This window comes from Homo sapiens, chromosome 4, assembly GCF_000001405.40.
Source record: "Homo sapiens chromosome 4, GRCh38.p14 Primary Assembly".
NCBI lineage: Eukaryota > Metazoa > Chordata > Mammalia > Primates > Hominidae > Homo > Homo sapiens.
In genome coordinates this window covers 140,676,175-140,698,544 of record NC_000004.12, presented here as the reverse complement: position 1 = coordinate 140,698,544, position 22,370 = coordinate 140,676,175, and the positions used below count along the sequence as shown (strand labels likewise).

The 22,370-nt window shown below is 40.2% G+C and overlaps 1 protein-coding gene across 1 annotated transcript in view; it reads left to right on the top strand.

Moving 5' to 3' along the window:
- The window catches only part of TBC1D9 (TBC1 domain family member 9), a 135,604-nt gene that overhangs the window by 57,841 nt on the left and 55,393 nt on the right, over window positions 1-22,370 (top strand). Inside the window, exons 3-6 of the mRNA NM_015130.3 lie at window positions 12,083-12,201; window positions 18,702-18,930; window positions 19,342-19,603; window positions 21,444-21,651. Of these exons, the coding sequence (NP_055945.2) occupies window positions 12,083-12,201; window positions 18,702-18,930; window positions 19,342-19,603; window positions 21,444-21,651 (818 nt within the window). The remainder of the gene's footprint in view (window positions 1-12,082; window positions 12,202-18,701; window positions 18,931-19,341; window positions 19,604-21,443; window positions 21,652-22,370) is intronic.

The following is a 22,370-nucleotide window of genomic DNA, read 5'->3' as shown; positions in this document are numbered from 1 at the left end:
AACTCCTGATCTCATGATCCGCCCACCTCGGCCTCCAAAATGCTGGGATTACAGGCATGAGCCACCGTACCAGGCCATAATTATGTCTTTTTAAATGTATTCTGAGATGCAAACAGCCCAGCGAATGACAATTGACTATAACCATTGTTTACACAGCCCATGAACGAAGGCATGGCTTCAAGGTTTAGAGCTGCGGGAAAACCCATCTAGAAGTGAAGAATGGGGATTGAGTGAGAGGAAGGTGATAAAGGATTAAGGAAGAGGAAGCTGGGACTCTGACCTGGACAGACTTACCAGTGTAACCTAGGCTCCTGGAAGACAGTGTTCCAGTCTTCTCTGCACGTTTACCCACCACAGAGGGAGCCCGTAGAAGTGAAAGTGCCATCTGGCCTGCCGTAGTTGATTGGGAAAGCATCACATTTAGTTGGCAAACAATCTAGAATCGTTTCATAGTCAGCAGATGAAGAACTAAAAAGAAAGAAGTTAAAAGTTAGGGAGAGCCACCAAACCCCTCCACCTCATGACGGTGTGAAAAGGACGCTGCAGCCTTCTTGCTCACTTTCCAGCAATCCCACCATGAGTGCCAAACTGCCTGCGAGATCCTTTGCAGGCAGCAGGTCTTCAGAGCCCTCAGATCTCTCCTTACAGCCCTCCAGGCTCGGTCTTCCCACCTCAATTTCTGGTGATGTAAGGAACTGGTTTGTGTCTCCTGTGACTTTTCCTCTGCCCCTGAGCCATTACCTTTGTTGTCATTGACATTTATAATGTCACTGCCTGACGTTACTACTCCTCAGTCTGATTCTGGGGCTTTGCCATGGTATTGCTATGAAACAGATCTTCCTGTGAATACTCCTATGAGATAGAATTGTATGTTACAAAGCTGAGTTATTCCTGAATTATTTGCTGAGCCAAGGCTAAGGAACACTACGCTGTGAATGCTGATGGCATAAATTATTGTCCAAAGAGATGTATAGTTTTCTTTTCCCAGTGACACTTGTTTCATTATAATAAACCCAGAATGGTTTTAGTTTTTGTATATATTGATTACCCATAGAGATAGCTCCAGAATTTCCTTATGGAAGACTGCACAGAAGGAAGTGACAGGCGTTGTGAAAGTGGTTTTTTGTTGTTGTTGTGTTTTGTTGCATTTTGTATTTTTTTTTGAGACAATGTCTTACTCTGTCGCCTAGGCTGGAGTTCAGTGGCATGATCTTGGCTCACTGCAACCTCTGCCTCCCAGGCTTGAGTGATCCTCCCACCTCCACCTCCCAGGTAGCTGGGACTACAGGCACACACCACCGTGCCCTGCTAATTTATTTATTTATTTTTTTGTAGAGACAGGGTTTTGCCATGTTGCCCAGGCTAATCTCAAACTCCTGTGCTCAAGCCATCCGCCTGCCTCAGCTTCCCAAAGTGCTAGGTTTACAAGTGTGAGCCACCACACCAGGCCACCTATTAATTGTTCTTTCTTACTGATTTCCATTTAAAATCCAAGTTACTGGCTCCTTTTCATGATAAGATTTTAAGAGCAGAAGCTTCTCCCTTAAGATTTTTAAAATATATCTGTATCTTATTGTTTGTAAATTTAATGTTATTTTTCATAAACTACAAAGTTAGTATGGCATAGGAAAATATATTAAAAACTTCTAATTTGCTAGGATTTTATGAAATATTGCTATAAAAGAAACTTCTGCAGATAATTGGGTAAGTCTAAATCACTGCCTTGTAGAATCCATGGGATTATAAAACCTTTTTCTATAAACCTTGATCTTGTCATGTGTTTTGTAAATCTTTAATAAGCATAAATTGAATTAAAGGGAGCATCTGCGACCAATGTCTTGACATAGACCACATAGAGCAGTAGTAGTGTTAGTGGTAAGTCCTAGCTGTATGATTTGCCTTAGACTTGAGCCACATGAAATCAGGCAGGAGGACTGTTTTGGACCATCTTACTGCCACTGTAATAAGCACCTGGCCCTCGGCAATATGAATCATATAGAAAGCGGGGTGGAGGTACCAAGAGTTATTTGATGAGACATTATTTTCATATGCCTCTTTTTATCTTTTTTTTTTTTTTTTTTTTTTTTTTGAGACGGACTCTTGCTCTGTCTCCAGGCTGGAGTGCAGTGGCACAATCTCGGCTCACTGCAACCTCTGCCTTCTGGGTTGAAGTGATTCTCCTGCCTCAACCTCCCGAGTAGCTGGGATTACAGGCACCTGCCACCACGCCTGGGTAATTTTTGTTTTTTTAGTAGAGACGGGGTTTCACCTTGTTGGCCAGGCTGGTCTCGAACTCCTGACTCAGGTGATCTGCACACCTCAGCCTCCCAAAATGCTGGGATTACAGGCGTGAGCCATCACGCCTGGCCCGCCTCTTTTTTATCTTCTGTTAGTTTATCCAAGTTGGTCTGAAGAAGTTGATCGTTTACATTTCCTTGACATGGAGAACTTTAATTGGGAAAGGGAGCCAAAAAACTTTCCTAAACAACGACCATTTCATTTCACTAGTACCCAAAATGTGGTTTTTATTCTTTTTGGCTAATATGCCATTATGTCAACAATTCTAGCCTACAATTAAGCATTATGCTTAATAGTTTGTACAGTAAATTCTACCTTTTATCCAGCCAGTTTTGTTGAGCTGATTTACTGTACTCTGACAATTCTGTCTCTCATGGTTTACCAGTGAATTGACTATTTTGCACCTGGGGCTCACATTGGAGTAAAAATAGGTACAGATATGCTACCAGCAGCTCTTGTTTTGGATATGGTGTTCCAGAGGCAGCAGAGAGTCCAGTCCATTGTCTTCCTTGGCCTTCAGTTGGCACAGGTAGAAAGCCATTTGGCTTTCTGCCCATTATAAGGACTAGAAGGTTCTAACAGTAAGAAGGGTTGGTTATATGATCTCCATGGGAATATGGGCACATAGGAATGCAGGTAATTCCAAGGATATGATCTAAAGAAAGGAGTTCTGTGACAGCTCAGGAGAATTAGAAACAAAGATACAGAAGGAGCTGCTGGCAGTTCCCTCTGGATGCATCTGACCTTCAAAAAGGGCTAATAAAGGAAAGCGTGGAGAGGATGTGTTTGACGGACAGCTCACTGACAACAGTGCCGAACGGTGCCTTGATTTGGCTGTGTATTGATTGAGTTTCCCTTTTCTTTACCATTCCAGAATGTCATCTGGTCCTAGATGGTCATTGTGTTTCAGAAATGAAAGATAGAGCAGCTATCGTCTTGCCTGCCCCTCTTATTGTAGTAGGATGCAGAAGCAAGGTGAATTGTCCAAGTTCACATTCCTGGTTATAACTAGTTATGTGGTGCTCAGACCAAGTTCTCAGGTCTCCCCACTCCCATCCCAGGACTTCTTAAGTGGCACCATGCTGGCTTTTATAATTAAATATTCTTTTAGTTAGCGGCTGGTAAGACCCAGAGTTTAATTAAAGATTACTAATTGGTTCTGCTCTTATTCTCTACTGTAGATAAAGAAAATGTTGGGTAATTTAGTTGCCTTCTGCATGAGGCAGACGTAATGTGAAAGTTGATAGGTATTTTTATAATTATTTCTTGGTCTGTGTAACTCAAGGACTATTCTCGTATCTTTAGAAACACAGTGAGTTAAGAAAGCAAACAAAAATAATTGCTCCTTTTTTCTTCAAGCAATACATGTTTATTGCAAAAATTACAAAATATAGATACATAAAATGAATAAAAAAGAAAACAAAATACCACATCACAAATCATCACTTTCAGACTTTAAAAAATCTCCAATATACTTTATATACCTATATATACAAATATATAGGTATATAATATATACTATGTGTATACTATATATTTACAGTATATATAAATATATAACAGATATGTATTTAAATGCAAATAAAAATGGAAAATAATATATTGAAAATAATTTTTATGTCAATAAAATGTATTTCCATACCATCAATTTTCTTTTTTCTTTTTTTTTTTTTTTTGAGACAGGGTCTTACTCTGTTGCCCAGGATAGAGTGCAGTGGCACGATCTCGGCCTACTGCAACCTCTAACTCCCAGCTTCAGGTGATTCTCCTGCCTCACCCTCCCGCATAGCTGGGACTACAGGTGTACGCCACCACTCCTGGCTAATTTTTGTATTTTTAGTAGAGATGAGGTTTCATCATGCTGCCCAGGCAGATCTCAAACTCCTGACCTCAAGTGATTCACCCACCTCGGCCTCCCGAAGTGCTAGTATTACAGGCATGAGCCACTGCGCCTGGCCTATCAATTTTAATAAGTAGATATTTTATGTGAATGTAACATAAATTATCTACTCAGTATGTTATTGGAAATCTAGGGTTTTTTCCCCTACTATTACTGTATTTTGAACAATCTTAGTGAATATTCTCCCAACAAAATCTTTGCACATTCTCTTAATTATCACCTTAGGATAAATTTATGGAAGTAGATATCTTGAATCAAAGAATATACATATAATTAAAATAGCAAAAATAAACAAGTTAAAAAAAGGATATGCATGTAATTAATATGTCTAGCCTGATTGCCCTCCAGAAAGATAGACATTTATGTTCCCACTATCCAGTAAAATAAGGATGTTAACTACTGATTCTTATTGCCAAGGCTGAATGAGTTACCTAGGACTCTCTTCTCAAAGTGATTATAAAGCTGTGAGCATATTATTATGACCCATAAGAGATTATAAGCAGAGTTATGTCAGAATCTTATCAGAGTTACACAAGAGGGCCTAGGCATATAATATGCACCCTTTGCAATCAAACATAAGTGTTCCAGGGCCTGAGAGGTTTGTGCTAAATGTATGTTAGTTGGGCAATAGTTAAACAGCTAGTTTCTTTTCTTGACATCAGAAGTTAGAAATATTTTCTGAATCACATTTCAAGATGAGGTCTTTGTGTTCTGCTGCTTATGATAATTCCAAAAGTAACTGTTTGGTGTTTTCTGTGTTCTAAGGACTTGACGTGTATTACCTGACTTAATCTCTAGCACAAACCAGTGTGTTAAGTGTTGTTCCTTACATATTACAGACAAGAAATCTGAAGGACAAAGAGGTTAAAGTAATTTACCCACGGCCCCAGAGTTAGTATGTGGCATTGTAGAAGTTTGAAACCAGGTGTACTTTCTCGACATGGTCTGAGGCATTAAGTAATATCGCCTCACTCATAACCAGGCTTCTTCTTATTTCAGATAATTTAACCTTTATTCATACTCACTGCACTTGTAAAACATGTAAGAAGGCAGCAAAGTGTAGCAATTTAGAGTGCAGACTTTGGATGTGTGCAGTGGCTTGTGCCTGTAATCCCAGCACTTTGGGAAGCTGAGGTGGGGAAGATCACTTGAGCCCAGGAGTTTGAGACCAGACTGGGCAACATAGTGAGACTCTGTCTCTATTAAAATAAATAAAGAAATGAAAAAGATTATTAAAAATACATATATATAGACTTCAGAGCCAGAAAAATCTGGATATGTTTGACAGTTTTTTTGTTGTTTTTTGTTGTTTTTTTTTTGAAACAGGGTCTCACTCTGGAGTGGAGCAAGCCAGGCTGGAGTGCAGTAGCACAATCACAGCTCACTGCAGCCTTGATCTCCCCATTCTTAGGTGACCCCCTACCTTAGCCTCCCGAGTAGCTGGGACTACAGGCACACACCATCACACCCTGCTAATTTTTGTAATTTTTGTAGAGATAGGGTATTGCCATGTTGCCCAGGCTGGTCTCGAACTCCTAGGCTCAAGTGATCCACCTGCCTTGGCCCCTCAAAGTGCTGGGATTACAGGTGTGAGCCACCGTGCCCGGTCTGTTTGACATTTCAGTAGTTAAGTGTGATGCCTATTCTTGGTAAGCACAAATAATAGAAGGCATTATCATTATCATCTTACTTAACCTGATTATAATTATAACTTTAGTTAGATGTGGATTTTGAAAAAGTATATTTTCATTTGTTTCTAAAAATGTTTCAAATCACCATGTTATTTTTGGGTTTTGTCTTTTGCCCTCTCTGAATATAAGTTTGTAATTTTTCTGGATGTAGAAAGTACAAGGGTGGCTTGGTAAATACAGGGACAGATTAAAGGTTGCTCCAGTATATGGAGTAATACTCTTGCCTTCATTTGGTATGGAAACTTCAAAATTATCATCTTTGTGACTAAGATTATATTGGATAAGGCCATAATACAGATGATTTATTCATTTGGTTCCCTTTATTTAATTAGCTTCAAGTGCAATTCATGTGAACTCAGTGATCCACATAGCCTGTTCTGAATCTGAAAATACTAGGTCAGTTGCTCTTTAATCCTTGGAGGCTTATTGGGTTTTTGTTTTGTTTTCTGCTATGTGATGAGTGGTTTTTATTTTTGTATGCACATACAAATGTACCTACACATGTGCATACATACACTTATGATCAATGAGAATTCACCATTTTAGTTATTCTGCAATACAGGTTTTTCTCAAGTTCTGCAGTCCCAGAAACAAAATGTATTATTCCTAGGAGGTAGGAAGAAAAAAATTTATTATGAATCATGCATCACAAAAGAAATATCTGCCAAATATCTATCAGTGGAGCCTTAAACCTTTGTTCTTAATCCTCAGAGGCCAGAAGTGATAGAATCATTTTGGAGGTCCATCTTCTATTTATTTCAAGTAGACTTCATGACTTTAAGATAGATTTCAAACTAGATGAATAATTAGACTAGGATGATTTCGTATTTTTCATCATTGCAGACAACATTAAAAAGTTTGCCCAGGTATATATTTAGGGCCTCTGGCCATTACCCTAAAAAACTGCTTGAAATGATAATTGTTCTTATTTTTTAGAAGTCAATGTCTAAACCTTAAGCCTATCAAGTGTTCTAGTTTTTAGCCACAGCAGAGTGCTTTAACTTGCATTTCCTGAAGGATTCTCATACCCAACATCAGGGTTCTTTGTTATTCCAGCTGATTACACAATCGGGTCAGCTTGTTTTTCCTGCTGCATCTCTGTAAATGGGGCCTTTCCAGAAAATCAACAGCCAAGCCCTTCCTTTCTCTTCTGAGTGTCCTAACACAGTTTGTTCAAGCTGCTGGGTAAATAGATCAGTTCCTTGTCAGGGTCATGACAAAGGAGCTTCATATTATCTCACTTTAATAAGTTCTAAGACTTGAATTACTGCAGCGCATGTACTTAATCTGCTTGAGAAATGGAAGAGCCATTTATAAGGAACATTTGGGATTCAAACACGTTTCCTTTGGAGTCTCAGGTTTTTAAGGAGTGGTCCAGAAAAAGTGGCATTTGTTCTGATATCTCTGAGAGGTAACTTGGACCCTTTTTTCTGGGGTGAGAAGTGGACAGAAGTGGCCACCTGCTTCCAGAAGTATTTTTTACTGGATTGGCATCTTCAGATGGTGATGGTGAATTCAGTCCTGGCTCGTACTTTTCAGTATCCTCGTACTTTTAGTGACCAGAACCTGGAGCTGGAACACCTGTCCTCACTGCTTCTTTGTGCATTTAGGAAAGTGTTCAGAGAATATGGTGCATTTGTGCAGTAAATATAAATTTTAAGATACTTTTACATTATTCTCCCCAGAAAGTATCTGTTGGGTCTAGATAGGAATCCATAGTTCAATTCCTAAAGCTGCTGTTTACTGATAGTGTTTGTCTTTTTTCTTTTCTAAAATAGCATATGATGATAATGGGTTCATATAATAATACACAAAGTTCTTCTGACTCGAGTAGTGCTCTCACCATGCTCTGCCCTTTACCAAGTCGTCACACCAGGACCTTTACTTTTAGAGTTCCTGCTATACTGGTCATAGAATCCAGTCTTCTGAAACTCTTTGTATCTTAGGCTTGGATGTAGCCAGAAGAAACTTCCAAAACCCCTTTTGGCAGTACCGAAGCAGCCCCAAAGCACTGAGCATGCTGAAAGACTTGAAGATCCTGAGACTTATGGTCCCAGCACCTCTCCTATACATGGGAGCAGCGAGTGGCTGGCGATGACTCCAAAAGGCCAGCCTTTTCATGTGACACAAGTGAGGAAGGAAGGACAGGAGACAGAGGACAGAACAAAAACAGCACAAGCAGAAGCAATAGGTTTGGGGCTAGTGCTGGTAAAGGAAGATAGACATGTAGGCATTACCTACCTCATAGCGAGCAGTAGAGAAAAGAGCCAGTGGTGAGAACAATGTTGGAGGTGGATGGTGGGGATTATGGAAATGATGGACAGTGGGCAGTGTGGGACAGCAGGTCCTGAGGCAGCAGAGGAGGCAACAGGTGGGGAAACAATGATAGTAAACCTGAACTTCAATGCAAGATTATTCAGATGACTATTTGAAGATGGGGTGGGAAAGACAATTAGCCTGTGGACTATATAATGTCAGTGAAGGCTGGAGGTACAAGTTAGATGTTTATTGAAGGAGTGCATTCATATGGGCATATACCATTTCTGCTATGGGAGTGTGTGTGTGGTGGGGATGTACATATAGAAATGTGTGCATAAAGAAACCTTTATCCTTTCTTTATGCATAAAGCACACAGGCCAGGCACTGTGGCTCAAGTCTGTAACCCCAGCACTTCAGGAGGCCAAGGCTGGCGGATTGCTTGAGGCCAGGAGTTTGAGACCTACTAAAAATATAAAAACAATTAACAGGGTGTAGTGAGACACACCAGTAATGCCAGCTACTGGGGAGACTGAGGTGATAGGATCTCCTGAGCCGCAGGAGTTTGAGGATGCAGTGAGCCAAGATCATGCCACTGTACTGTAGTGTGGGCAACAGAGCGTGACTCTGTCTCAAAAAAAAAAAAGGGGTGGGAGGAAGGGAAGGGAAGGGAAGGGAGGGGGAAGGGAAGGAAGGGGAGGGGAAGGGAAGGGAGGGGAGGAAGGAGAAAGGGGAGGGGGGAAGGGGAGAGGGGGGGAGAGGGAAGGGGAGGGAAGGGAGAGGAGGGGAGGTAGGAGGAAGGGAAGAAAAGGGGGAAGGGAAGGGAAAAAGGAGAAGGGAAAGGAAAAAGAAGGGAAGGGAAAAGGGGGAATGGAAGGGAAAAGGGGGAAGGGAAGGAAAGGGGGAAGGGAAGGGAAAAAGGGGAAGGGAAGGGAAGGGAAGGGGGGAAGGGAAGGAATGGGAGGGGAAGGGAAGGGAAAAGGGGGAAGGGAAGGGAAGCGGGGAAGGAAGGAGGAAGGGAAGCTTTGAAAGCAGCTTGTGCAAAGCTGATAGGTCTTATGGCTGATGGGCTTTTCTATCCACGACAACCAAGGAATAGTGTTGGATTCCATGGGATTCTGAAAGTAAAGTACCTGGTGTGATAACTTGGTAAAGGGCAGAGCATGGTGAGATACCAGTCAAGAGCCAGATTATCCTGGCTGAGCCGAGGCTCAGACTCTACAAGGCATATCTGTGATCAATGTAGGCAGGGACAGATGAGAGGCAAAACAGAGATGAATTATGCCTCTGGGTCTGCAGAACTCAGTCCTGTGGTTCCCAGGAGTACCTCTGTCCTGAGGTGCAGTCCATCTGACAGTGCCAACAAGCACAGATGGAACAATCGGGTGGAGGATTCATGGCTGGCATTTATTCTGCACAGGGCTCTCTCTGTGTCTGCCGCATGTCACAGCTGGTGATGGTGGTGACCTGGTTACAGACAAGGAAGGGCTCTGTATGTCTGAAAAAATTTTCCAGTTAGTATTTAAAATTTTTAAGTTTAAAATATTTTAAAGCTTTCAAACTCCAAAATGACTCATTCCCTAAATATTTCAAATAGGCATTGTAATTTGCATTTGAACAGTATTTTTGCTGTCCACAATGTGTCGACAGACATTAGCCCTTGTGATTTTCATAGTATTTCTCTGAGATGGGTAAAGGTTGTTGTTGTTGTTGTGTTGGAGTCTCTCTCTCTCCACAGGGTCTCACTCTGTTGCCCAGGCTGAAGTGCAGTGGCACCATCATGGCTCACTGCGGCCTCAAACTCTTGGGTTCGAGCTATCCTCCCACATCAGCCTCTGACATAGCTAGGAACTATGGGTGTGTGCTACCACTCCCAGCTAATTTTTTAATTTTTTTGTAGAGATGAGGGTATCACTATGTTGCCCAGGCTGGTCTCAAACTCCTGGCCTCAAGTGATCCCCTCACCTCTGCCTCCGAAAGCACTGGGATTAGAGGAGTGTGCTACTGCCCCCAGCCAGTTTTGTGTTTTTAACTGATCTCAATTTTACAGAATTTGAGACAGAGATTAAGCACTTGTCTAAAGTCACCCAGGTGACTGGTGGCAGAGAAGGAGGAGGTACCCAGCTGTCCCAATTTCAAGGTCTTGCCATGACATTGTAGGACAGTTATCCCACTGCTTTTACACGTGGTAGCTTATGGCCATGAAAGAGCAAGTGTGGAAAATACCCAGGAAGAGGAGCAATGTATGCTTCAGTGTTTTCACTGGACTCTTCTCCACTAAGATACCTGCTTTTTTTTTTCTTTCTTTTAGACAGGGTCTCACTGTGTCATTGTCAAAGCTGGAGTGCAGTGGTGTGATCATGGCTCACTGCAACCTTGACCTCCTAGGCTCATGTGGACCTCTCACCTCCTCCTCCCAAGTAGCTGGACTACAGGCACATGCCACCATGTCTGACTAATTTTTCTTATTATTATTTGTAGAAACTGGGTCTCCCCATGTTACCCAGCCTGGTCTTGAACTCCTGGGCTCTAGTGATGCTCCCATCTTAGCCTCCCAAAGTGCCAGGATTACAGTCGTGAGCCACTGCACTCAGCTGATACCTGCTTTTCATCCTTCACATAAGCATCCCTTGTAGGCAAGTTTGATGTTTAGTCTCAAAGTAAAAGAAAGTACATGTGGGTTTTGTTTTGCCTTTCCTCAGTGTATCTGAAATTTCTCATTCTCTCTCTCTCCTGAATTTCTTTCTCTCATTCTCTCAGCGATTTTAGTTCTGCCACAGTTCTGAGTATAATTGCAGATACATTTGTGTCTCCTGTCTTTCATTCTTTGTCAAGAATCAGAGATTCTGAGATCTTACTGATGACAAAGAACAGAGAGAAAAGACACTTTAAAGAAATCAATTAAAATATAACTTGGAAATCGAAGGAGAATCCTGAAGGGTGAATCAATGGAATCACAAACTCCTTCTTTAGTTCTGGAATGAGCAGTGCATACTATATGTTTATATATATATATATATATATATATATATATATATATATATATATATATATATGACACACACACACACACACACATATATATATATGGCACACATATATATGATATACGGACAAATTATAAAAAGCCATTTTTCTATAAGATCATTAACAATCATTAGGGGAATTTAGTCCAGTATCTTTATACCCCCACCCTGATGGCATACCTATTACACCCTGCAGCTGTGAGCAAAAACAGAGTAGTGATTACATATACTATAAAGCTGATTGTTTAAGTTTGGAGGTTGCTGGAAGAGTTATCTTAAATGCTTCTTATTATTGACCAAAATGTGTTGACTTGGTTGAGGCTGCAAGGATGACCTCATCCCATTACATTTCAAGGCAACTGTGCTAATGAGAGCCAGGCTGCTATTCCCTAGTGATAGTCCATTTTCACATCTCATTCATAATTGAAGTGAGTGAGAGTAATTTTTTGCCCATTATAGGAGGTGGTTACATCAGTTCTCCAGTGGCATACCAAAGCTCTCATATTGTTGCAACTTAACAACTGTAACCTAGTATCATAAGATCTATGTTACCCTGTAAAGTGCAAATTCTAGAAGGGAGGAAAGGGGAGGGATGTGCTAAACTCTAGTCCAGAAAAGTGAATTTGAGAAATATTGCTGCCTTCTGATCTGAAACAGTGTCCTCAAAGCCTCTGCACTCACCTAATCAAACTTGATTATAACACAACTTGATTATAATATTACTCTTGCGTTTCCACATCCTTAAATGTCTTGTGTGTGTGTCTCCTCTGGAGGAGAGAAAGCATTTAAAGGCAAAGCTCTTGGTCCGATAGTCTCCTTTGATGGTATAGACTATAATGAAAAAGTGAGCCTGGTTTTTAAAATATCTTTGGCATGAAATCTGACATGAATTATTATTTTCATTTGTACAGGTGGTTCCAGGAAAGAAATCACTGAACACTGGGAATGGCTTGAGCAAAATCTCTTGCAGACACTCTCCATCTTTGAAAATGAGAATGATATCACCACATTTGTGAGAGGAAAAATACAGGTAGTGGGATAAAAGAAAAACATTTTAATTGGAAATAATTTCAAATTTACAGAAATGTTGTAAAAATAAGAATTGAGTAAAACATACCTGTATACCCTTTGCCCAAATTCACCTGTTAACATTTTACTGCATTTGCTTTCTCATATGTGTGTTTGCCTCCTCTCCTGAATACTTCAGTGTGTATTTTCTAAGAATAGGGCTATTCCTTTTTTTTCTTTTATTGATAACATGATATTTTACATATTTCTGGGGTACATGTGAGTGTTTTTTACATCACAGAATGTGGAATGATCAAGTCAAGGTATGTGGGGTAGTCATCATATGGAGTATTTATTATTTCTATGTGTTGGTAACATTTCAAGTCCTCTCTTCTAGCTACTTTGAAATAGACAATATATTGTTGTTAACTATAGTCACCTAGTCACTATGGAACATTAGAACTTATTTCTTCTAACTGTAAGTTTGTACCATTCACCAGCCTCTCTTTGTTCCCTGTCCCACCTTCACAACTTTCTGAACCTCTGGAATCTATCATTCTACTCTGTCTCCATGTGACCAAGTTTTTAAGCTCCCACATGTGAATGAGAACATGCGGGATATTCTATTAAATAACAACACTACATTTATCACCTGCAATATTTAACATTATATGTAAATTTAACATTAATACCAGAATATTTGACACATATTCTAATTAATTTCATTAACTGGCCGACTTAATGCCCTTTATAGCCTTCCCCACCCCCACTCCAGTACAGGTAATTATCTAGGAAGACATTGCATTTAGTTTTCATGTCTTTAGTCTCCTTCAGCGTGGAACATTTCCATAGCCTTTCCTTGTCTTCTATGACATTGAGGTTTTTAAAGTATACAATTCTGGTTTTTTACTAGAATGATTTCATTTTGCATTTCGTCAGATATTATGAATCGATTCAGTTGTTGCATTCCTGGATGGAATACTGCATAGGTGATCCTGTGTCCTTCTCAAGATATTATTTCTTGAGGCACATGACACTCATTTGCCCCTCATTGGCATTATGAGCCCAAGGTGTTATATCCAATTTCTCCATTGTAGAGTTACTAATTTTGCCTTTGCAAATAATAAACAGTTTTCTGTAAGAAAACATTTTCAGGCCACACAAATGTATCACTCCTTGTCAAAATTTCTGTCTTGATTTAGGATTGATCCATTGATGATTTTTCATCTGAACCAGTCTTTACTGTGACAGTTTACAAGATGGTGATTTTATAAAATAATGCTTGTCCAATTCCAGGCCTCTCCCACATTTACCATTTGGCAACTATTATTCTACTATAAGCAAGAGTCTTCCCTCCATTTATTTATTATTTATCGATTATTAACATGGAATCATGGATTCTGTATTTTCCAGTTGTTTGTGTTTCATTACTGGACTTAATTATTTTGGTGCTCACACTATCCCAGATTTAGAGGGAGCCCCTACAAATTGCCTCCTTTGTCCTTGTCATAGTCTCCTTTATTTATTTATTTATTGAGACAGAGTTTCACTCTTGTTGCCCAGGCTAGAGTGCAGTGGTGTGATCTCTGCTCACTGCAAACTCTGCCTCCTGGGTTCAAGCAATTCTCCTGCCTCAGGAGGTCAAGACTGCAATGAGCCATGATTGCACCACTGCACTCCAGCCTGGGCAACAGAGTGACACTCTGTCTCAAAAAAGAAAAAAAGGGCTGTAGGAAGAAGCTAAAGCTTAGAAGTGACAATAGCCAGGAGAAATAAGTAAAACAAACAAAGACCAATTATGTCAAACAGCCATTTTCCTTTTTGTTTGTATTACACCAAAAATGTCAGATTTAATTCCCCTGAAACCAATTATGAGGAGGGATTTGCTATTAATGCAGTTATGTGTGAAAGAATGTCATTCATGTGCAGATGAATGGTTTAAGCATTCACATATTGTCCAATAATCAAGGGAACCAACAAAGTTATTTGTTTTGAGACCTAATTAACTTTTATAAATCATAAATGTAATAGTTAACTACAGATGCAACCATAATCCAAACACCTTATGTAGCATTTTGTGTATTTCTTACCAGACCTCCCTTTTCTTAACTTTTTTTTTTTTTTTAATTAGGGACAGAGACTCACTACATTGCCCAGACTGGTCTTGAACTCCTAGGCTCAAGCAATCCACCCACCTCAGCTTCCCAAAGTGCTGGAAGTACAGGCCTAAGACACCATGCCCGGCCTCCCCACTTCTAATATGCATATTGTCATAATAGAAGTCTCATGTACATATAATTTTGTTCTCGTCTTTTTTTCTTGACCAGTATCTACAATATTGTTATATAATTTTTAGTTATTATTCCATAATTGACTTTACCATTTCTGTCTTTCTAGAAGTCACCTTAGCTTCTAGACTAGTGGATGGCAGGTACAAATAAAAATCCAGTTAATACTTTTGTTCAAACAGTGTAACTTTACCCACAGGCTGTGTTTTTCCCCCTTTGGGATAGATTACAAAATTTGGATGAATGGGTTAAGTAGTTTAAGTATTTTTAATAGACCTTAGTAGATATTGTCAGTTAGAATCTCTGTGTGATTACAGCATTGCTTGCTTTCAGCATTTTGGTTGTTGAAATTATTTTTCAAATATAATAGGTAGAAGTTAAAGCCTTAATGTTTTAGTTTTGTCTTTGGTTATTATGGGGTTGAATATTTTTTCATGTTTGCTAAGTTAAATTTCTCCTTTTTGTAAATTACCTGTTAATATTCTTTTGCATATTTAAATTTATATTGAACATCTGATATAATAGGATTTTCCAAAGTCATGAGAAGCTGTTGCCTAGAACTGGAATGACCTATTTTATATTATGCGAAACCTGTAGAAAAACCTGTAGAACCTGGGAAGGAGCTATTCTATCCCTGTATTCCATAATCTAGTCTACCTGGCTAAAAAATTATAGCCAACTAAGAAAGGGTTCTACATTCTGGATTATTTCCTTTTTTAGTGTTGAGAAAGTTGGTATTTTAGCCTTATGGAGACTATTAGCCTTACTGTTGAAATGAGCTGGCAAAGCCTTGTCTCTTGATACTAGTATATTAGACCCTAGAGTGTTTCTGAGTGATGGTTCTTGACTGTATTTACTCTCATATATAAAAGCATTTTCTCTTTAAAATTTCAATGAGCAGGCCAGGTGCGGTGGCTCACACCTGTAATCCCAGCACTTTGGGAGGCTGAGGCAGGCAGATCACCTGAGGTCAGGAGTTCGAGACCAGCCTGACCAACATGCAGAAATCAAAAATACAAAAAAATTAGCCAGGCGTGGTGGTGCATGCCTGTAATCCCAGCTACTCGGGAAGCTGAGGCAGGAGAATCACTTGAACCCAGGAGATGGAGGTTGCAGTGAGCTAAGATCGAGCTATTGCACTCCAGCCTGGGCAACAAGAGCAAAACTCCATCTCGAAAATAAATAAATAAATAAATTCAGTGAGCACTCTAGAAATGTGGTATTTAATAGATCTTTAGATAGCATACTTCTGCTTATGGTTTGTTATATGTCACTCATTCTCACATTCTCCTCATTTTGACTTTAGGTAAGAGCGCTACTACAGTGACCCAGGAGAATAGCATGTTAGCCCACTTGAGGGTCTCCAGGCTTCTCTAAGTTGTTAGCCTTTGGTGATTCCCTGGAGGCCCAGCTGCTGCTTTCTGTTAGCAGGTTCTCATTCAGTTATTTTTATTTACTCATTCATTTATTTAATCTTTCATTCATAGATATTTTTTGATCCTTCTCTAAAGGCACTGACAACTTTGAAATGTCACATAGGCCACAGGTGTATTTGCCAACTGCGAAAGGCATTTTTCATCCCTTTTCCCTTCTGAATTGACTTCTCCTTCCCACCCACGGGTCCCATGCCCTCATGCTGCCTTCAGTTGTCTGAAGTTCTTAAAGTAACACTACCAACGCCTGCTTGTCCCTAGAATAGCCTGGGTCCAAAATTGAGCTCCCTCCTGGCCTTCATCGAGCTTAATGTCTTTGTTCTCTTGGTAGAGTGATATCAGTGGTAAATAGAGGAAAATATCCTTATGTTAGATATTTTTCCAGGGAAGCACATTGCTACTTCTATTGCTATCCATAATGCCCTCCAGTATGACAGAGGAACAGAAGTTAGCAACTTGGTACCTAATTTCTCAGGCATTGCTAACTCCAAAACAATTGTAGATTTAGAAATCTGCAACTCTGGATTATACAATAAAGACTAAGATATGGCCCCTTAAGATATCTTTTAATTTGGAAAAACAACAACATGGATTCATTTAGTAATATTGAACATCTTTTAGGTGCTAGATATTGGTGATTAAAATGTTCGAGACATTCTTTTTATCTTTGGAATTCATATTTAGTGGTAGAAGGACATATAAACATGCTATTTTCTGCCAGCATGTAAATTAAGACAACATAGACGTGAGAATGCTTAGAACCCATTTGGAATTGGGCTGGTTTCACAGGGAAGGTGGTATTTATGCTGGACCTGGAAAGGTTGACTTGGGAAGATTGAGAGCAGATTTTATGGGTTAAGATTCAGTGCAGATTTCTTTTCTCTTTCACTGAGAGCCTGTGGAAGATTATAAGGTGGGAATACTGTAGTCAGATCTCTGTTTCAGAAAGTGGCCATGTGAAGTAAATTGGAGTGTGGAGAGTGTTGTCAGGATGCCATTTGAGAAGCTATTATATAGTAATTCCTGGACTGTGTAGAGGGACTTTGGGATGCTTTTGTTAGAAGAATAGGATAAAGACTTGTCTTGGGGCTGTGCTTGCATCGTAAGCCCACCATTTGCTGTTATGATTATTGTCTACATGCTTACTTTTAACTAGAATAGGACAGTGACAGAGATTATAGAAGACTGAAGCCCTTTCTCCTGCCATCCACTCAGCAGCATCACAACTACCGGCAACAGGGTGAAAGGTCTGCAGTGGAAATAAGACTCAGGAAATGATTTCAATACATAATGCAGAGAGAATCAACATTACTTCATGTGGGGGGAAAAGAATGATAGTTGAGAAAAGGCTCACAAGAGACTTTGAGACTTGGTAGGATTCACGAAACAGAACAGTCTGATTCCAGATTTCAGGCATGTAGAATGGGAGGGCCATAGGCAAAAAGGTGGGAAAGTGCAGAAATGACATGTTCAGGCCCCAAGGGTGCCTCAGGCTGGCTGGAGCACAGTTACTAACGGGACATTTGGGTAGGATGTAGTCCAGTGAGAAAAAGTTGCGGCATTGGTTGGATCCAAAAATGTACATGGGTCTAGGCTACTCTGGGCACACTGCCTGTGGGTTACCCTGCTTCACAAGGAGCAGCCAGTCTGCAATAAAAATAAAAATTAAAACATTAAAACAAACAAAGTGTACATGATCTAGATTTTTGGACTTTATACTGGTGGTGGTTAGAAACCACTAAGTATTTTGGTAAGAATTTTGTGGTCAAATCCATTTTAGGAAGACAAATTTTTAGGGAGCATCAAGGATGCACTAGAAGCTTTAAGAGCCCAAAAAGCAGGAATTCTAGGTATGAGGAGGCAGTTGCAATTTTCTATCCTTGGGCTACAGAGAGCTCAGTCATGTCAATGAGAATCTGAGAAGTTGGCCAAGGCTACACAGATACAGTGATGCGGTGGGAGCACGAATCTAAGACTTGCATGCTCTAAAGGTCATGCATTTTCAGTTCTACCTTGAGATCAGAGAAAATGAAGATGAGGCGGGAGGGATTTGAGGATTACAAAGTCAAAGGTGGAATTCAAGGGAGCATTTTCCATCGAGATATATGTAGAAGCCAATTTTCAGGGAATTACAGAGGAACTGGGTAACAGTGAAATGGCTTCTCAAGTTATTATAATGATTGAATGGTAGATTAACCTGGTCACTTGCTATGCAGATGTTTCATTTCCTGTCTAACTGTCCAAAAATCCTGCATCTAATATAATTTTTGCTCTCATATCTACCCCTTTTCTGCTCAGATGATTACTCGTTTTTCCCTGTAGGCTCCCCAGTGTTATTCATGGCCCTGAGACAGTGAGTGTGGAGCTGAGTGTCAGTTGGTGACATGTGTTTGGTCTTTCTTTCCTCACTGGCTCATTCATGATGAATTTTTATTAATCTTGGAGAAAGGCAGAAGTTGACTTTTGAGACAATTCTACCATAATAAGCTTAGTAAAAACACTAGGACTAGCAAAATCTTTGTATCTCTTCATTTGTAAAGTAAAACTATAGGCTTCATTCCTAGTAAACTTAACAAAATAAAATTAGCACCAATAAAAATATAATAAAATCTATATTATGTGAAAATATTTTAGTACACAAATACTACTCAATAATTGGCTTAGAATTTGGGGGTTGCCATTGAAGGGCATTCCTCAATTTTTTTTTTTAATTCTAGCCTTAGAAATTTTTTCTTCTGGAATATGTACATCTCTAGTCATATTAATACCAGTTGTGTGCTTTGTGTTTTATTCCTTATTAGGGCATCATTGCAGAATACAACAAAATCAATGATGTAAAGGAAGATGATGACACGGAGAAGTTTAAAGAAGCCATTGTGAAATTTCATAGGCTGTTTGGGATGCCAGAGGAAGAGAAACTCGTCAACTATTACTCTTGCAGCTATTGGAAGGGGAAGGTCCCCCGTCAGGGTTGGATGTACCTCAGCATTAACCACCTTTGCTTTTATTCTTTTCTTATGGGAAGGGAAGGTAAGTCATCTAAAATTTCAGCAGGAAACTTTGGAAAGTCTACTGAGGTTTGCCCTGAACTCATAAACCACATCAAAATATCAGAAATAAATCTATAGTTATAACTAAGTCAATACTAATTTTTTTTTACTACTGAAGTGAATTTAATTATTTTTCAGTTCAAAATGGTCACTAAGTAATAAAGATTCACTAAAGGTGTAATTAATTCAGTAGACATGGATTAAATCTATAATTCTGACCTCAGAATTCACATGGCCCAGATTTACCTCTTAAAATGAACAAGCAAAACAAATATGGTATTATAAACTCAAAGGAGTTCAGTGGGATGGGGGAGTGGGGTTGTGAGACTGCAATATCTTGAAAGCGTTTTCAGGAATCAGATGTTGACCCAGGCTTGTTCCTTGTGCTCAGCGAAACTGGTCATCCGGTGGGTAGACATCACTCAGCTTGAGAAGAATGCCACCCTGCTTCTGCCTGATGTGATCAAAGTGAGCACACGGTCCAGTGAGCATTTCTTCTCTGTATTCCTCAACATCAACGAGACCTTCAAGTTAATGGAGCAGCTTGCCAACATAGCCATGAGGCAACTCTTAGACAATGAGGGATTTGAACAAGATCGATCCCTGCCCAAACTCAAAAGGAAATCTCCTAAAAAAGTGTCTGCTCTAAAACGGTGGGTGATAGAGACCTTGTATCTTCCAGACTTTAGAAATGAGAAACTCACTCATTCATTTATTCAGTGTAACCTTCTCTGACGATCTTCAAGGGTTCTGAACACTCTTCTGTGTATAGATACAAAACTAAAAAAGACTAGCTGAGGTGCTACCAGTTCAGAAAGTGAGACAGACATGACCTGCTCCAACACAAGGCAGCAGGCACTCTTCTGGTCCTGTGAACACAGTGCTGTGGGTGCACACATGGGGAGTGATAGCCTCAGCCCAGATGGGGAAGAGTGGGTAAGAAAGGCCTCTCAGTGGAGGCTGCTTTGAGCTGGGCTCTGAAGAGGTGATAGAAGTTACCTGTGCAGGTACATATCCATGCCTGGATATTTCAAGCAGAGGGAAGATGACGATGGGGGAAACACAAGGGAAAACACAGAGAGAAGTAACTTTGTCACATGGCTAGTAGGTGGCAGGGCATGGGATGAGGAGAGGCTGCAGAGAAGCCTCAAAGTCTGAATGTGAGAGCAGAGCTAGAGAGAGGGTGATGGAAAGTTGATGCCCCATGTGCCTGGAATTACCCTTCATCAACACAGGGAATGAGAGAAGGAAGAGCATGTCCAAGGGATACGATAGCTCAGCTTTGATTATGTTGAATTGAGGTGCCTGTAGCTCATCTAAGTAGAGATCAGTCCAGTAAGATATACAAAATTGGAAATCATTGATGTGCATTTGGTAGTTGAAATCTAACCAGAGGTCTTTGTAATTAAGATGTCCTTGGTGATTTGAGACATGTTCAAAAGAGCAGTGTAAGATAGATGCTGCTACTGCAGCGGATCAAATAAAAAATAAAAGACAAGGAAAGGGAACTAGGCAAATACAGACTTCATTTTCAAGAAATTCAGTGGTAAAGGAGGGGAGGATTGCTTTTTTTTTTAGAATGAAAAAGATTTGAACATAGTATCAAATGAAGGAGGCAGATGGGAAGAGCATTTTGGTGAGGGTAGGTGTGGAGACAGGAAGGGACATAGAGATAGTTATAAGAAAGTTGATCATTTAAGAAGTGATATTTTGTAGAGAAAGCATGGAAAGGATGCTTGTGTGTCCTGATATACCTTTTCCTTTGGAATGGAGAGGAAGTAAGAGTAGGTGAGGATGGAGGTGACTTTGGAGACAGAAGGGAAGGAATTGGAGGGGGCTTCTGCATCATGGACCTTTGCTCTATGAAGTCAGAGACTAGACCATCACGAGGCTGATGTCAGGTAGAAGCTTGAGGGGAGAGGTTTAAACAACTGACATGATGAGCAAGAACAAAGAACTCATTAGAGAAAAGATAGTAGTTAACAGAAGACCCAGCTAAGGTCAGAAGCCATAGTTGCCCAAGGTGAGTTGTTCCTGTGTCTTTTCCTGCAGCTTTGTTGTCGATTTGGGGTGGACACTGAGGCCCAGTGGATTTATATGGCTGGTTTGCATTCTCATTAGGTCTTAAAAGATAAGGCCCCCCCTAAAGTGGCTTGGATAAGAGTAAATGCAGTGACCTCTTTAGAGTGTATTGCATTTCTTTAGAAAGAGGAAGAGTTTCCTGTTCAGGCTTATTTTTGCTATGATTCTTTAACATTTACAGACATGGATTATAAGTGACTATGCAAGGGACTGAAATATAATAAGATAATTTTATTACGCTTTTGGGTCATTAGGTTGGGGTTAACTTCAATATAAAGAAAGCTGAGAAGCGGGGGATGAGTCTAGCAAGATTGAGGAGGTGGAAAATGGGCTGGGGGAACTTCCGCTGCTGCATAATTTAGAAGGTATGGAAACATTTTTCTTATGTGAATTGTAATTATTGCTTTCCAGTGATCTTGATGCCAGGGCAAAGAGTGAGAGATACCGTGCACTTTTCCGGCTGCCCAAAGATGAAAAATTAGATGGCCACACAGACTGCACTCTCTGGACTCCATTTAACAAAATGCACATTTTGGGGCAGATGTTTGTGTCCACAAATTACATCTGTTTTACCAGCAAGGAGGAGAACTTATGTAGCCTCATTATCCCGCTCCGTGAGGTAAGTATCTGATAAAAATTGATATTTTAAGTTTCATTTGTAATACTTTTCTGGGTGAACCAGGAATAATTTTTTTACCAACAATTGGCTTTTGAACACAGGTGAATGTTCATGCGTCTTTGGTGGCACCTGCATTCTTTCATTTGTTGTCACTGCTGTGACTCTGGGACCTGTGAGATCTCTTCTTCCAGAAGCTGCATGGGGGTTTTTTAATGTAGGTTTTGTTTTTATTTTATTTTATTAGAGACAGTCTCGCTCTGTCACCCACGCTGGAGTGCAGTGGCATGATCTCAGCTTACTGCAACCTCCACCCTCCAGGTTCAAGCGATTCTCCTGCCTCAGCCTCCTGAGTAGCTGGAATTACAGGCGCCTGCCACCATGCCCAGCTAATTTTTGTATTTTTAGTAGAGATGGAGTTTCACCATGTTGGGCAGACTGGTCTCGAACTCCTGGCCTCAGGTGATCCACCCACCTTGGCCTCCCAAAGTGCTGGGATTACAGACATGAGCCACTGTGCCCGGCCTAAATGTAGGTTTTATTACAATTCAAGCTTAACGAGGCCAGCAATCAGGGGATGAGTGCTATTGAAATAGCTTGTTTTATGCACAGATCCTGAAAGGCAAGGGCATGCCACGCGATGTGCTGGGCCACACGTGGAAGCACCATGGTCAGAGGAGGCAGGAGGGAAAGAAAATGTGGGCAAGATCCTTTATGTGATT